Raw genomic sequence first — 17,661 nt, 5'->3', positions numbered from 1 at the left:
GAAATATTCTTTTAATTTTTTTCAACCACTTGGTAAAAACCGAATATAAGAATGGTATAAGCTATTCTTAGCTCATGGCAGGCCAGATTTGGCCAGTGGGATGTGGATTGCTAGCCCCTGATTTAGATCACTGACCAAAAAGTTTTTAAAGTTTTCCAAAGGATGCCAGATAAATCAAAATGATCCCGGGCCTTTTATACTAGCAACTCACTTCCAAGCAGATCTTTTTTAAATGCGTAAAAATGGTAAACTTGAATTATACAAGTTACATGAGTCTAACGAAGCTTCTATTTGCTCTTGATTTTCTCGGGGCTCTGTGGGTGTCCCTCTCTGCTCTCTGTGAAACACTTCAGGGATAAGGACGCTAGGTCAATGACAGCACTTGGATTAGAAGCAAGGAGAACCATCACAAAATGACAGCTCCAAGGGGCAGTCAAGAGAGTATCACTGTCAGCTAGGTCGAAAGTGAATTCAGTGGGAACAAACCCTGATTACACTTGAAATATATGTAAGTCACAAGCATAGAAACTTAATAGTTCTCCTATTCTGATGGCTTCATGCCAGTTTTCCATGGTCACTTCTAGAAAGCCATCTTCCTAACACAGCGAGAGTATCTTACTCCTTTTCCAGTCCTAGCCCACAGCTGAATGGTCTTCTGGTCCATTTTCCCCACAGTGGACACAGATCCCCCAACTAAATGAACCCCCTCCTCTCATGACTCACTTGAAAGAAATGAGTACACATGCCAGTGAGGAGGCTAAGCCACATTAGCACTCCTCCAAGAAAACCACTTCTAATGAGTTTTTGTCTTAACAAGCATTGAGAAAACACTGAGCTCTTCCTTTCATTGTTTTCCTCACCGCCACATCAGAAGGGAGTGGAGAAAGGGCTCCAAAAAGGACCGAGCAGAGAGGGCGTTTTGTTTTGGTTTGGTTTGGCTTTTTGCAACTTAACCATTCTATGAGTTCTGACCCCTTGTTATATTTTTCATAGAACATGTTTAGAAAAACATTTCCCCCATAACTGCTTCACTGGGGTTAAAGAGGACTTCACTGCAGTCTAATTCTGCAATAGCTCAGGTTTCTCCAGTAGCCAGTAATATCTGAGCAGATTTCAATGTGAGTGACCAGGAGGAGGACGAGAGAGAGAGAGAGAGAGTGTGTGTATGTGTGTGTGTGTGTGTAAAGTTTGAGCATTTACCAAATGCTTGGCACCATGAGTAGGACAAAAGTCATACATGACATTATTTTTGCCTCAAGAAGCTCAGCCTTGATGGGGTTGTAACAATCTGTATTTTGACTTTTGCTCAAAAGTCTGCTGAAGTGGGTTAAAATCCTGTTTATCTAATGGAAGTTGCAGAAGTGTAGTTTTCAACTCCATGTCTTTATTGAGTTTTTCACGGGAAACTCTTTTTTTTTTCCTCTTTGCAGCCCCATCCCCGAGCATCAAAATGCATCAATAACCCTAGCTCTTATCCACCTTGAGTAGGGCCCAGCATTCATTGGTTTGCTATTGCCTTTTGCTGCCGTAGCTTTTCAGCTCAGAGCTCCATAAGGGTTTATACGTAGATCTGCACATAGAGAATCAACTGCTACAGATTCGTTTTACCCACATTGGGTTTCCTCGAAAAGTACGTTGTACAGGGTGTTGTTATGACTATTGCTCTGCTTAGAAAACAGCAGAGAGCCTTCATCATGAATAGATTATCACAAAGGTGATAGATTTGGTTGTTTTATCATATTTCTGCATCTCATCAGCACAGGTTAAGAGACGCTGGGGAAAATAGAATGAATAATTTTGGATGACTCAAATGCACCACGCTGGACAGCTCCCAGCCTCTGCAGTTTCTCTATGGGTTCTGGGAAGGCCGGGACAGGAGTGAGAAAATATTCACTCCTCACACCTAGCCAAGGAGTGTCTGGAGAGTTCTGCGGAAACCAGGAGGCTGTGTGTCCTCTGTCTATGCAGCAGCTATTGTCAGCTGTGCTTGGAAAGGTGTGAAGAGTAGGCAGAGGCAGGCTCTTGGGAGCCAGGGCGATGGCAGTCACTTATAAGTGGAACAAGTGTGGTTCTCATCTTCAACAGCTCGTCTGCTTGTCTGCCTGTGTATGTCCTCCCCAAACACAGACATGGCCTTCACCTCCCCTGCCTTCATCTTGTGGGGTGGGGAGCAGCAGGAGGTTATGGATGCTGGCCTGATAACATCTGGCAGGCAGGACTTAGCTGCATTTTCAGTGGGACACAGACATTAGTGTGAATCCAAGGAAAGCAATCGGAAAGAGGGATGTGGAAATTGTCAAGTCCCCAGGACCCCCAGGAGTCAGGACAGCCAAGTGGCCAAGAGCACGGGCCTTGGTAGACAGGGCCAGTTCATTACTCTGCTTTCCAGTTATGTGACCCTGAGTACAGAGTTTAACCCTCCAAGTCTCAGTTTTCTCATCTGTGAAATGGGGCAACCTTGTGGAGTGCTTGTGAAAATTCAGTGAGAAGGGCACGGGAAGCCCTTAGCTTTATGCTTAGAACAATGTTAGTTCATCTTTTATGAGGAATATAGAAGAAACTGGAATTGTTTGGAAATGGGAGAAGAGATTAAAGAAAGACATATCTGTCTGCAGATATTTAAAGGATTATGATGTGGCAGAAGGAACAAACATTTCTTTTTTTTTTTTCTTTTTGAGACAGAGTCTCACTCTGTCGCCTAGGCTAGAGTGCAGTGGCATGATCTTGGCTCACTGCAACCTTCGCTTCCTGGGTTCAAGCAATTCTCCTGTCTCAGCCTCCCAAGTAGCTGGGACTACAGGCGCACGCCACCACACCCAGCTAATTTTTGTATTTTTAGTAGAGGTGGGGTTTCACCATGTTGGTCAGGCTGGTCTCTTAACTCCTGACCTCAGGTGATCTGCCCGCCTCAGCCTCCCAAAGTGCTGGGATTACAGGCGTGAGGGATTACACACCTGGCACAAACTTACTTCTAGTGTTAAGACAATATGACTTAAAGTATGGCCTTTGCAGGAAGGCAGATTTTATATCAATAAAAGATGTGACAGAGATGCTCAGGAACAACCAGATGCTGAGTGGCCCCTGCACTCAGGAGCTCAGGGAGAAATGCTCGTTCCAGGTAGGAGGCTGGTTGGACCCAATGCCAATTCTTTTCCATCCTACAACACCAAGAAATTTAGCAAAAAGGCTCAGCTTTTTTACTCTTGAAAGAATTTATGAAACCAGCAATTGTGTGGAATAAAACAGAAAAAATACTTTCCAGGGGACCCATAGGGTACCAAATGGCAAGCTCATTTGCTTAGAGATGTTAGCAACTTTCTCATTGTATTAGTTTGGGCTGCCATAACACACAACCACAGACTGGGTGGCTGAAACAACAGAACTTTATTTCCTCACAGTTCTGGAGACTGGGAGTCCAAGGTAGAGGCAGGGGACGGGTTCGTTTCATTGGAGGCCTCTCTCCTTGGCTTGTAGATGGTGGCTTCATCCCTGTCTTCCCAAGGTCTTCCCTAGTCTTCACATGTCTGTGTCCTCATCTCCTCTTATAAAGACACCAGTCGTGGATTAAGGCCTGCCCTCATGAACTTGTTTAACATCAGTTGCCTCTTTAAAGGCCTTAACTTCAAATGCAGTCATTTTCTGTGGTGCTGGGGGTTAAGGCTTCAACATAGGGATTTTGGGGAGGGGGACACATAATAATCATCTCCGAGGGATTTATCCTTTGAGTCGTAGGGACTATTGACCATGACCGCCCTTCGGAATTTTTTTCATGTTCTTTGAGCTGTATCCTTTCTGATTCCTTTCTCTTAGGTGAACGGCCCTTTCCCTGCACGTGGCCAGACTGCCTTAAAAAGTTCTCCCGCTCAGACGAGCTGACCCGCCACTACCGGACCCACACTGGGGAAAAGCAGTTCCGCTGTCCGCTGTGTGAGAAGCGCTTCATGAGGAGTGACCACCTCACAAAGCACGCCCGGCGGCACACCGAGTTCCACCCCAGCATGATCAAGCGATCGAAAAAGGCGCTGGCCAACGCTTTGTGAGGTGCTGCCCGTGGAAGCCAGGGAGGGATGGACCCCGAAAGGAGAAAAGTACTCCCAGGAAACAGACGCGTGAAAACTGAGCCCCAGAAGAGGCACACTTGACGGCACAGGAAGTCACTGCTCTTTGGTCAATATTCTGATTTTCCTCTCCCTGCATTGTTTTTAAAAAGCACATTGTAGCCTAAGATCAAAGTCAACAACACTCGGTCCCCTTGAAGAGGCAACTCTCTGAACCCGTCTCTGACTGTTGGAGGGAAGGCAAATGCTTTTGGGTTTTTTGGTTTTTGTTTTTGTTTTTTTTTCTCCTTTTATTTTTTTGCGGGGGAGGGTAGGGAGTGGGTGGGGGGGAGGGGGGTAAGGCCAAGACTGGGGTAGAATTTTAAAGATTCAACACTGGTGTACATATGTCCGCTGGGTGAGTTGACCTGTGGCCTCGCACAGTGATTCTGGGCCCTTTATGCTTGCTGTCTCTCAGAATTGTTTTCTTACCTTTTAATGTAATGACGAGTGTGCTTCAGTTTGTTTAGCAAAACCACTCTCTTGAATCACGTTAACTTTTGAGATTAAAAAAAAAAACGCCATAGCACAGCTGTCTTTATGCAAGCAAGAGCACATCTACTCCAGCATGATCTGTCATCTAAAGACTTGAAAACAAAAAACAGTTACTTATAGTCAATGGGTAAGCAGAGTCTGAATTTATACTAATCAAGACAAACCTTTGAAAGGTTACACTAAGTACAGAACTTTTAAACCTTGCTTTGTATGAGTTGTACTTTTTGAACATAAGCTGCACTTTTATTTTCTAATGCAGAGGATGAATAAGTTAAATACATGCTTTGAGGATAGAAGCAGATGTTCTGTTTGGCACCACGTTATAATCTGCTTATTTTACAATATACACGTTTCCCTAAGAAATCATGGCAGAGATGTGAGGGCAGAATATACACAACAGATGCTGAAGGAGAAGGAGGGTAGTGTTTTGCAAAAGAAAAAGAAAAGAACCAACAGAATTTTAACTCTATTAACTTTTCCAAATTTTCCTATGCTTTTAGTTAACATCATTATTGTATCCTAATGCCACTAGGGGAGAGAGCTTTTGACTCTGTTGGGTTTTATTTGAATGTGTGCATAACAGTAATGAGATCTGGAAACACCTATTTTTTGGGGAAAAAGGTTTGTTGGTCTCCTTCCTGTGTTCCTACAAAACTCCCACTCTCAGGTGCAAGAGTTATGTAGAAGGAAAGGGAGCTGAAATAGGAACAGAAAAATCAACCCCTATAACTAGTGAACACCAAGGGAAAATACCACAATGATTTCAGAGGAGACTCTGCAAAATCGTCCCTTGTGGAGAATGCAGGCAACATGGAATACTAGGAATGAAATCACATCACTGTATCTTTTACATCAATAGCCTCACCACTAATATATCTTGTATCTAGGTGTCTATAATGGCTGAAACCACTACATCCATCTATGCCATTTACCTGAAAACTTAACTGTGGCCTTTATGAGGCCAGAAAAGTGAACTGAGTTTTCGTAGTTAAGACCTCAAATGAGGGGAGTCAGCAGTGATCATGGGGGAAATGTTTACATTTTTTTTTTCTTCAGAAGTAACGCTTTCTGATGATTTTATCTGATATTTAAAACAGGGAGCTATGGTGCACTCTAGTTTATACTTGCGCTCTGAAATGTGTAAACATAGGGTGCCTACCTATTTCACCTGACCCATACTCGTTTCTGATTCAGAATCAGTGTGGGCTCCTGCAGTGGGCGCGGGTCACGGCTGACTCCAACTTCCAATACAACAGCCATCACTAGCACAGTGTTTTTTTGTTTAACCAACGTAGTTGTATTAGTAGTTCTATAAAGAGAACTGCTTTTAACATTAGGGACTGGGAGCAGTCCATGGGATAAAAAGGAAAGTGTTTTCTCACGAGAAAACATGTCAGGAAAAATAAAGAACACTTTCTACCTCTGTTTCAGATTTTTGAAACACTTATTTTAAACCAAATTTTAATTTCTGTGTCCAAAATAAGTTTTAAGGACATCTGTTCTTCCATACGAAATAGGTTAGGCTGCCTATTTCTCACTGAGCTCATGGAATGGTTCTGCTTATGATACTCTGCACGCTGCCTTTTAGTGAGTGAGGAGTTTGGGGTTGCCTAGCAACTTGCTAACTTGTAAAAAGTCATCTTTCCCTCACAGAAAGAAACGAAAGAAAGCAAAGCAAAGTCAGTGAAAGACAATCTTTATAGTTTCAGGAGTAAATCTAAATGTGGCTTTTGTCAAGCACTTAGATGGATATAAATGCAGCAACTTGTTTTAAAAAAATGCACAATTTACTTCCCAAAAAAGTTGTTACTTGCCTTTTCAAGTTGTTGACAAACACACATTTGATATTCTCTTATATGTTATAGTAATGTAACGTATAAACTCAAGCCTTTTTATTCTTTGTGATTAAATCCTGTTTTAAAATGTCACAAAACAGGAACCAGCATTCTAATTAGATTTACTATATCAAGATATGGTTCAAATAGGACTACTAGAGTTCATTGAACACTAAAACTATGAAACAATTACTTTTTATATTAAAAAGACCATGGATTTAACTTATGAAAATCCAAATGCAGGATAGTAATTTTTGTTTACTTTTTTAACCAAACTGAATTTTTGAAAGACTATTGCAGGTGTTTAAAAAGAAAGAAAAGTTGTTTTATCTAATACTGTAAGTAGTTGTCATATTCTGGAAAATTTAATAGTTTTAGAGTTAAGATATCTCCTCTCTTTGGTTAGGGAAGAAGAAAGCCCTTCACCATTGTGGAATGATGCCCTGGCTTTAAGGTTTAGCTCCACATCATGCTTCTCTTGAGAATTCTATTTGGTAGTTACAATTACAGAAACTGATTAGTTTGTCAGTTTGCAGATAGATTTAGCACAGTACTCATCACTCGGATAGATTGAGATGTTCTTTCACATCAGATGATCTGTAACACTGTAAGATACTGATCTTTACAACTGTTTAATCAGTTTTATTTTTGTACAGTATTAGTGACCTAAGTTATTTTGCTGTCCCGTTTTTGTAAATCAAATGAAATTATAAAAGAGGATTCTGACAGTAGGTATTTTGTACATATGTATATATGTTGTCCAAATAAAAATAATAAATGATAAAGACTGAATTGTTCTAGCCATTATGTGTTGTAAAAGGGGGCTATTTCACCATAATGAAAGTTACTTCTTTAACCTGTGTTCGCAGGATTTTGGGATGAGTGCAAAGATGATTTTACCCTGTACCTTTCAACACATGCAATAGTTATATAGACTTGTGTGTATTTACTATTCACAGACCTCTGAGGAAGTAGATGCAATAGAGGTCACTTGAAACCATTGTGTTATGCTGGAGGGGAATATTTATATTTTGGGAGATAAATCACTTTAAGAGGCTTTTAGAGCTCATAACTGTGCAGGGTGTACTAGGAACTGGTCAGAGAAAGTTGTAAGCTCAGATTGTGCTCTTGAGATACGATATTAATAAGAACACACAAGTTGAGGTTTCATTGGCTCAACAGTAGAAACATAACACCAAGCAAAGACAAGCATCAAAGTGTGTGTGTGTGTGTGTGTGTGTGTGAGATTTATGCAGACATGTACTAGCTATTATGTATTAATTAAGCTTTTATTGTAAACTACTCATGGCGTTGGGTGTTTAGGTTTTTCACATTTAATCCTTACAGCAGCTCAGTACAGTAGATAATTATTATTATGTACATATTTCTGATGAGGAAATTGAGGATTGGATAACTTGCCAAGAGGCACATCTAATAAGTGGCACAGACAGTGTTTAAATTTGGATCTGCTGAATCCAACCCTGCATCTTTGTATGCCTGCATCACAGCAGCAAGGGATTTACTGGAGTGTACCATTCATTTGACCCATTTTATTGAGCACACCTATTCATGCCAGGCACTGTTGTCACTGTGGATACAAAGGTGAAAAAATAGACAAGGACCCTATGTTCAGGGAGTTTCTGTTAGTAGAGGGAAATAAATAGTAAACAGATTATCCATGTACTCTCAGATAGGGATAAGCATAGTGGCGAGAATAGAATAGGGTGATGTGATTGTGACTTGGAGGGTGGGGAGAGGCTACTACAGATTGAGGAGGCAGGGAAGGACTCCCTGAGGGTCTTCACATTTAAGCTGGGACCTAGATGACAAGAAGGAACTAGCCTCAGAAAATGTGTAGGGAGTGTGGAAGGAGTTTGGCAGGAATGTGACCAGCGTTTGGAGGAACAGGATAACAGTGGGGTGGCTGGAATATAAACTGGACAAGAAGGGAAGGGAAGTGCTGGGGTGGTTGTCAGGGCCCAGTTCACAAGGGCCACGTATTGCAGGTTGTAAAACGGTGTTTGATTTTGATTCTAAGGGGAGGGGCAATCTGTTGGAAGCTTTAAAGCAGAAGAATGCTACGATCCCACTTGTATTTCAGCAAGCTCTTTATGAGTGCCAGGGAAAATGGATTTTAGAGGGACAAGAGTGGAAGCTGGGAGACTAGCCAGGAGATTTCTATTTGTCCAGGCAAAAGATGATGGTTTTCCAGACCCGAAGGTTAGCAGTGGAAAGAAGTGAATAGTTTCAAGAAATACATCAGAGGCAGAGTCATTTGGACTTGGTGATGTTAGGATGTCGGGGGTAAGGCATAAAAAAGTCCGGTAATGACCCTCAAGTCTATGGCCTGAGCAACAGGTAGATGTTACTGCAGAGTGGTGAGGATGGAGGAAAGGGGGAAAGAAGGGGGTGGATGAGGGAAAGGGCATGGGTTCATCTTTGGACATGTTGAGGTTGCAGTGCCTGTCAACTGGGAATGTCAAGAGAACGATTGTATGTACTAGTTCAGATCTCAAAAGAAGTGGACTGGACTGGAAATTTGGATGTCATCGTCATATTTAACAGTAACTGGAGCCAAAGAAGTGGATGAGATCACCTGGGAGAAGAAGTGGTTACAGCCTAGAACCAAAGAGGAGGAGAAGGAGGAGGCAGAAAGGTAGCTCAGGAAATAACAGGACAAACAAAACCCAGAAAATTGCAGGGCTGTTGAGTAAGGTGGGGGGTGGGCCAGTCAACTGTGCTGAATGGCATTGAGGAGTATAGTAAGACCAGTGCTGAAAAGCGTCCCCTGAATTTAGGAATCTGAGGTTATTGGTGACTGATTAGAGCCATTTTATTAGAATGGCGGAAATAAACAGCTGGTTAGGGAGGGGGAGGAGTAATCGTGAGGTGAAAATTATAAATAGGAAGTATAGTCAATTCTTACATAGTTTGCAGAAAACAAAAGCAGACTTATTTATATACAGCAAAAGCCAGGAAAAAGAGGAGGCACAAGAAAAAGACAAAATAAGACGAAGGAAAATAGAATGCACATGCCACTTAAACCCCCTACTAAAAGTTAGAATCTCAATTTGGATCAAAAGCAAAGTCACAGCTCCTCAAGAGGCTGAGGCAGGAGGATGGCTTGAGTCCAGGAGTTCAAGGCTGCAATGAGCTGCGATCACGCACTGCACTCCAGCCTGAGTGACAGAGAAAGACACTGTCTCTAAAAAAAGATTGCATTTTTTATCACTAGGCAATAAAGTGAGCAATTAATAACAAAAGGATAATTTTGAAAGACTAAAAAAGTAGAGATTGAAATACTGTCTTAAAATAATTTTTAGATCAAAACAGAAAATACAAATTATAATCTGTTTAAAACAATAGAAAAAGCAGTATATCCATAATATACCCTATACCCTAAAGCAGTACTTACAGAAAAATTCAGAGCCTCATATGCTTCATTATCATCTATGAAAAAATAAAAATAAGCCAAGCGATCAATTTATATTTGAAAATGAACAGTATCTAGGAAAAGCATGAGAAAATAATAAAATGAGATTAACATATAAACCCAAGCAGTGGATCTTTGAAAAGACCAATAAAATAGACACACTTTTGACAAAGCCAAACAAAAACAAGAGAAAATCTAAATCTATATTATGAATGAGAAGAGAGGTGTAACTATAGATAAAATCAACTAATAATTTTGGACATCTTGATAGAATGACTCTAAAACCATCCTAGAAAAGTTTTTGTGAGTGGTACAGTTGTATAGACTGAAAACTACTTTTTTAACTGACAAGAGTTTTGATGGGTGGTACAGTTGTATAGACAGAACTAATTTTTTGATTGACAAATATCAGAGAACTTCAGCGCCCAGATTATATAGACAACATCTTTCAAATCTTTAAGGAACCAATAATTTCTCTAAAAGATTAGAGGCCAGGTGCAGTGGCTCACACCTGTAAGCCCAGCATTTTGGGAGGCTGAGGTGGGAGGATCGCTTGAGGCTAGGAGTTTTAAACTGGCCAACAAAGTGGGATCCTTTCTCTCCAAAAAATAATATAAAATATTAGCTGGGCACATAATTGTAGTTCCATCTACTTGAGAGGCTGAGATCGTAGGATCACTTGAGTCCAGGAGCTTGAGGCTATAGTGAGCTGTGATCACATCACTGCACTCCAGCCTGAGTGACAGAGCAATACCCCATCTCTAAAAATATATTTAAAAAAAATAAATAAATGTTTTAAAAACTGTTAGAACAAAGACCATACAAAATAATGGAAAACATCCTGATTCACCCAAATAATGGAAAACATTCTTAATTCATAGTTTAACTCTTGACCTACAAGAATAGTCAAGAATATTTTACAAAGGAAAAGTAACTTAGGGGAATGTGCCCTATCAGAAATTACAGTCTATTTTGAAGACATAAGAATGTATAAGAATCGGCTGGGCACAGTGGCTCACCCCGGTAATCCCAGCACTCTGGGAGGCTGAGGCAGGTGGATCACGAGGTCAGGAGTTCAAGACCAGCCTGGCCAACATGGTGAAACCCTGTCTCTACTAAAAATACAAAAATTAGCTGGGCGTGGTGGTGCCTGCCTGTAGTCCCAGTTACTCAGGAGGCTTAGGCAGGAGAATCGCTTGAACCTGGGAGGTGGAGGTTGCAGCGAGCCAAGATTGTGCCACTGCACTCCAGCTTGGGCAACAGAGTGAGACTTCGTCTCAAAAAAAAAAAAAAGCATAAAAATTTAATATATTTTATAAGAGTGGTGGCCAGGTGCAGGGCCCATGCCTGTACTCCTAGCACTTTGGGAGGCTGAGGTGGGAAGATGGCTTGAAGCCAGGAGTTCGAGACCAGTCTAGGCAGCAAAGTGGGCTTGGTGGTGTGCGCTTGTAGTCCCAGCTGCTCAGGAGACTGAAGTGGGAGGATAATTTAAACTCAGGAGTGTGAAGCTGCAGTGAGATATAATAGAACTACTCCACTCCAACCTGGGCAACAGAGTGAGACTCCATCTAAAGAAAAAAAAAAGTGGCATCACAAATCAGTGGGGAAATACATGTATTATCTACTAAATTTTGTTTAAATAAAATATTTTCTAGGAATAATTCAAATTATATCACACTGTATATCAAAATAAATTCTACACACATTAAAGATGTAAGTAAAATGATAAAAACACTTAAAATATAGGTGAAGATTAATAAATCATGATTCATAAATCATCATTTGCACAAAACTAAAGGTAGAAACTATTAAAGATGTGAAACTATTATAAATGAAAAATGAGCCTAAATAAAGTTAAAAAGTATGGATATGGATATGGAAAAATGCCCATTAATAGGATTAATGTCTTTATAACTTACAAGTCAATATGAAAAAATGAACACATATTTAGAAAGATCTGGCAAATGATATAAATTGACATTTTATAAAATAAGAAATAAAAACAGCCAATAAACTTTTCTTAAATATTTGCTATGCTTTCAAAGAAATGTATTATAAAATAGTGAGGTACAGTTATCTGCCTATGCTGGTACAGATTAAAAAATATAAAACACCCTTTTGGTTAAGAACTGGGGGAAAAGGACATATTGCTAGTGGGGATCCAAACTGGCACAACTTTTCTAGGAGATAATTGGGCCGTAAGAATTTAAAAACCATAGAAATGTTCATCTACTTTTCAAAGCAATTGCATGCCCAAGGAATTATCATGAAAGTCTGCAAAGATTTAGCTGCAAAAAAATGTACATGGTAGCATTTTTTATAATAGTGAAAATTTGAAAACAATATCAATGTTCAGTTCTCATGGATGGTTACAGTAGGGTCCAGGTGTAGTGGCTCACTCCTGTAATCCCAGCACTTCAGGAGGCCCAGGTAGGTGGATCACCTGAGGTCAGGAGTTTGAGACCAGCCTGGCCAACATGGCAAAACCCCGTCTCTACTAAAAATACAAAAATTAGTTGGGCATGGTGGCATGCGCCTGTAATCCCAGCTACTCAGGAGGCTGAGGCAGGAGAATCACTTGAACCCGGGAGGTGGAGGTTGCAGTGAGCTGAGATCCGTGCACTGAACTCCAGCCTGGGCGACAGAGTGAGACTCTGTCTCAAATAAATAAATAAATAAATAAATAAATAAATAAATAAATACCAGTAGAATAGTATGCATCCATTACAAATGGTGTAGAATAGCTTTTCACCACGGATATTCTGTAGTACATTGATTTTGTAAATGTTACCTTATAGGAGGATCCTATGATTAGATAAGTGTGGGATACGTAGGCGAGGTGAACCAAGTTTCTCTACTGAATTTCTTTGCAGAGTCTTTGTTGTGATCCAGTATGCATCATTCATATCCCAGGGGCTGACGTAGCATGCAGAATCGCACAAACTTACTTGACTATGGTCATTTTGCCCTAGTTTGTTTGTTTTTAGAGACATTATGAAAATCAGACTTTGAGAAATGACATAAAAATATGTTCACAATATATTTATATAAAAAGCAGCTTACCCAGTATAGTCTCACTTTAAAACACGTATATGTGCTCAGAAAAAAAAAAGGCTAGAAGGATTTAAAGGATACTACACAAGAATGTTAACCGTGATTATTTTGACACATAAGACTAGGGATAATTTTAAATTTATACTCCTTATCTATATTATGCTAAGTTTTCTACAAAAGGAGTATATATTACACTTCTAAAAAAAGGGAGAAAAAAGGAAATGCCCAGAAGTCAATGTAAATGTGATATTTTATTCACTTATTTATTCTGCAATACCAATGCAGTCATGCATAAATGCCATATTTTAGAACAGCAATATGAAGCCACTAGCTCTTGTATGAGAGTTAACCTGCCCAACTATGGGGTCACACCCAGAAGTCAATTTGGGTTGATTTGGGGTGGCCTTTGTGGCTGCTGCCCTGGCAGAGCAGCGAATTCTTGATATCTCTCATCTGTTCTCTAGTTCATGTGGCCTCTGTTCACCTTGGCAATGAAACAGATGCTTCTTGAGTTTCAACTCAAGTAAAGAGTTGAATGCAGTTTTTACTCCTGGTTTTCACTACAAACTCAATTCTTCCTAAGTCAGATGATATCATTTAGGGTTTTCTCAAAAGACCAACCTGTGTTAGGCCGTTCTCACATTGTATTGCTATAAAGAAATACCTGAGACTGGGTAATTTATAAAGAAGAGGTATAATTGGCTCATGCTCTGCAGGCTGTACAGGAAGCATGGTGCTGGCATCTGCTCAGAAACTGTCTTTTTTTTTTTTTTTTTTTTTTTTTTTGAGATGAGTCTTGATCTGTCGCCCAGGCTGGAGTGCAGTGGCGCGATCTCAGCTCACTGCCACCTCCACCTCATGGGTGCAAGCAATTCTCCTGTCTCAGCCTCCCAACAACTGGGTTACAGGTGCCCACCACTACATCCAGTTAATTTTTGTATTTTTTAGTAGAGACAGGGTTTCGCCATGTTGGCTAGACCAGTCTCAAACTCCTGACCTCAGGTGACACTCCTGCCTCGGCCTCCCGAAGTGCTGGGATTACAGACGTGAGCCACCATGCCCAGCCAGAAAACTTTCAATCATGGTGTAAGGCAAAGGGGGAGCAGCCACATCACATGGCCAGAGCAGGCACCAGAGAGAGGGGAGAGGTGTTACACTATTTTTTTTTTTTTTTTTTTGAGAAGGAGTTTTGCTCTTGCCACACAGGCTGGAGTGCAATGGCATGGTCTTGGCTCACTGCAACTTCCACCTCCCAGGTTCAAGTGATTCTCAGACTGCCTCAGCCTCCTGAGTAGCTGGGATTACAGGCATCCACCACCATGCCCGGATAATCTTTGTATTTTTAGTAGAGACGGGGTTTTGCCATGTTGGCCTGGCTAGTCTCAAACTCCTGACCTCAGGTGTGATCTTTCTGCCTCGGCCTCCCAAAGTCCTGAGATTACAGGCATGAGCCACCACGCCTGGCCAACTACACACTTTTAAACAACCAGATCTCATAAGAGCTCACTCACCATCAGGAGAACACCATGGAGAGGATGGTGCCAAACCATTCTTGAAGGATCCACTCCTGTGATCCAATCACTTCCCACCAGGCCCCACCTCCCTCACTGGGAATTATAATTCAACATGAGATTTGGGTGCGGACACAGATCCAAATCATATCATGACCCATGTTCAAATCCTAGCTGGGTACCAGGTCCAAGCAAGCTATTTAATTTCTCTGAGACTCAGTTTGTGTGGATATGTGTGTGTAATATCCCATAGCATCATTGTGAAGAGTAAATCAATAAAATACATAAACTGTTAGCTCAATGCCCCTACACGAGGCTAACAGTTTTGAAACACTAGGTTTCCAACAAATATTTGTTCTTTTCATTTCTCACATTGAGTGAATATGGTCCTCAATGAATTGTAACAGTTTCAACCCATTTTCTCTTTCTTGAATGGGTGCAATTTTCTTACATCAGCCTTTGCTTATACAAATGACTGTTGGTGTCTGCAGACTACAGCCCCAAGTGAAATCTGGCCTATAGTCTGGTTTTGTAGGGCTAGTGAACTAAGAATGTTTTTACATTTTTAAATGGTTGAAGCAATAAAAATATTTTTAATAAAAAGATATGTATATGTCAAATACATAAAGATTACATGAAATTCAAATTTCAGTGTTCACGAAGTTTTATTGGAATGCAGCTCTTCTTATACACTTACTGCCTGTGGCTGCAGTCACACACACTAGTTTTTGGCCCTCAAAGTCTAAAACATTTACTGTCTGGTCCTTTGCAGAAAATAAACAGCAACAAAAAACAAACAAACAAAGAAACTAACCTCAGCTCTCGGCAATCTATTATATAAGTGTTTCTTGAAGGCTAGCATTAAAAAGAAGAAAGTTTCTGCTTCCCAGAAGTGAAAACAAAGATAAGAAAGATGTTGCTCATTGGATTGCATTTTTTTTTAAAGTACACAAAATAATGTTTTTTGAAGGCTTAATTTTTGAAATCTCAGCCGGGCACGGTGACTCACACCTGTAATCCCAGCACTTTGGGAGGCTGAGGTGGGAGGATCATTTGAGCCCAGGAGTTCAAAACCAGCCTTGGCAACAGAGCGAGACCCTGTCTCTTAATAAAAATAAATCTCCATTTCCATCACATTTCTTCAACTCCTACGAATTCTGTGATAGGTTTGGGTTCACAAACCTTGGCACAGCTAAGATTGCATGTTTCCTTCTGTATTCTCTGCCTGCCTGTTAGGAGCCACCACATTGACTATTAAAATGTTTTTATTATTAAGCTTTTAGGTTGGTTATCTCCATTTTAAAATAATTTTTTATTTGCTTTTGTTCTAAGTCCTGATTGATTTTTGTTTTTGTATTTTGCTTCTGTACTGATTGATATTTAATCAGCAGTACTGTAGGATTTTTTTTTTCTGTCATTAGCCTCCCCTATTTAGTGATTTATAGGCAAACACCTGAGAAGACCCTGTGATTCTTTTGTAATGCGAGGATTCTGGTGAAGTGTGGTCGTCTTCACCTTCTCATTTACCTGTAGGTAGGTAAGATGGTCCATACTAATTGCCGGTATTCTGTTTAACACTGCAAAAGGCATCCCCAGGAACAGGGATGTAGAGTCCCTTAGGTAGAGCCTCTGTAGAAAGATTACTTTTTTCTCCTTTCACCTACGGTAATGAGTATTTTGGTAGAGACTGCAATCGCTGCCAGCTTTGGCTGCATAAATCAGGCTTACACTGAGTTTAAATAATTGGAGGGCAAATCTAGCACACCATTTATTCCATTATGCTTTTTCTATAAAAGCAAAAAATCTTTTTATCCTCCCCCAGGACAGAGTCTCGCTCTGTCGCCGAGGCTGGAGTGCAGTGGTGCGATCTCCCCTCACTGCAACCTCCGCCTCCCGGGGTCAAGTGATTCTCGTGCCTCCGCCTCCTGAGTATCTGATTTTTTTTTTTTTTTTTTTGGTGTTTTTTAGTAGAGACAGGGTTTCACCATGTTGTCCAGGCTGGTCTCCAACTGCTGACCTCAAGTGATCTGCCGGCCTCGGCTTCCCAAAGTGCCTGATTACAGGCTTGAGCCACCGCGCCCGGCCAGTAAAAAAGTCTTTATTAAACGCAACTAACTCTAAACAAAGCAGTACACATGAGAAGAGGACATAAGGGGCCGGAGCCACTGAAGTACAAGTGGTACCTCTCTACTGTGTTTTGAGTGCTGATAATCACCACAAAACCCAACTTGATTGGCTTATTTTGAGCGAAACCTTTATGTCGTTTTCAGGCTGTCTCAGGCAGAAAAACCACACTCCTTGGAGACTCAGATATGCAGGTTTCCTTCTGATGCCAGCTCTAAACAGCCATATTTACCCATTGTTAGAGCAAGCTTCCTTTCTGTTCATCCTAGGAAAAGCCTTACAGTCTTGTATCTTTGCATTTTTACTAGCTGTCATCTATCCAATGTTGCAGAATTTCCGTTTTCCTAAAGTAGCCGGATTCCAGCTCTTCCTAACTCACTTCAGCCCCTCCAGTTTTGGAGCCTCTTCTCTGGAGGAGTCTTTTTCCTTAACGGCTCCCAGGGATTGTATACCCCTGCCTAGGCCACTCTTCACTGTTTGGCATGTTTAAATCAATTTGACAAATCAGAACCGTTCTAAAATAGGGATCTTCCCATAGAGGAAGTGCTAAATTGTTTGTAGTTTCTTCAAGCTTTTTTGTTTTGTTTTGTTTCCTAGGATATAATTAGTAATTTCATTATATCGTGTTTTATGCTGTCCAAGATTCCAACTACCCTCCACATATTTAGGGGAGCCACGGATAAGTGCATGTTAAATGACTCGTTTCTCCGTCTTTCTGAGTTGAGATCCACATGTGCAATTTGTTGTTCCTAAGTGCCTTAGATAATGGCTAAAAATATGTTTTCTTTTTCTATAGAAATCAAAGTAACTTTTTAAAAGCTTGCAATCACCTCCTGTGTTTCTATGTTGGTGTTAAGGCAATCAGCTTTGGGCATACTAAAAAATCATTTTCTGTTATCACCACCCATTGAAATGCCAATTGGCCTCCAAGGAATTTACCTGAACAAACCAACTTTTATGCATGTTTCATTTGTGTTTATTTTTATTATCAAAATATATCGTTTGTATTTGCTTCACTTCAGAATCCTATGATGGAATGCCTCAACATTTAAATACTTGCTTTTTAAGTGCTCTGCAATTTGAACATCTGAGATTTTTATATATACTCCAAA

The 17,661-nt window shown here is 40.6% G+C and overlaps 1 protein-coding gene across 1 annotated transcript in view; it reads left to right on the top strand.

Annotated features, from left to right (window-relative positions):
• The window catches only part of KLF9 (KLF transcription factor 9), a 30,054-nt gene extending 22,842 nt beyond the window's left edge, over positions 1 to 7,212 (top strand). Inside the window, exon 2 of the mRNA NM_001206.4 lies at positions 3,811 to 7,212. Coding sequence (NP_001197.1) covers positions 3,811 to 4,040 — 230 coding nt within the window. The 3' untranslated portion in view covers positions 4,041 to 7,212. The remainder of the gene's footprint in view (positions 1 to 3,810) is intronic.
• The last annotated feature ends 10,449 nt before the right edge of the window (positions 7,213 to 17,661 follow it).

Source organism: Homo sapiens, chromosome 9, assembly GCF_000001405.40.
Source record: "Homo sapiens chromosome 9, GRCh38.p14 Primary Assembly".
Classification (NCBI taxonomy): domain Eukaryota; kingdom Metazoa; phylum Chordata; class Mammalia; order Primates; family Hominidae; genus Homo; species Homo sapiens.
Note: the sequence above shows the minus strand (reverse complement) of the source record. Positions and strands in the feature narration are given on the sequence as shown.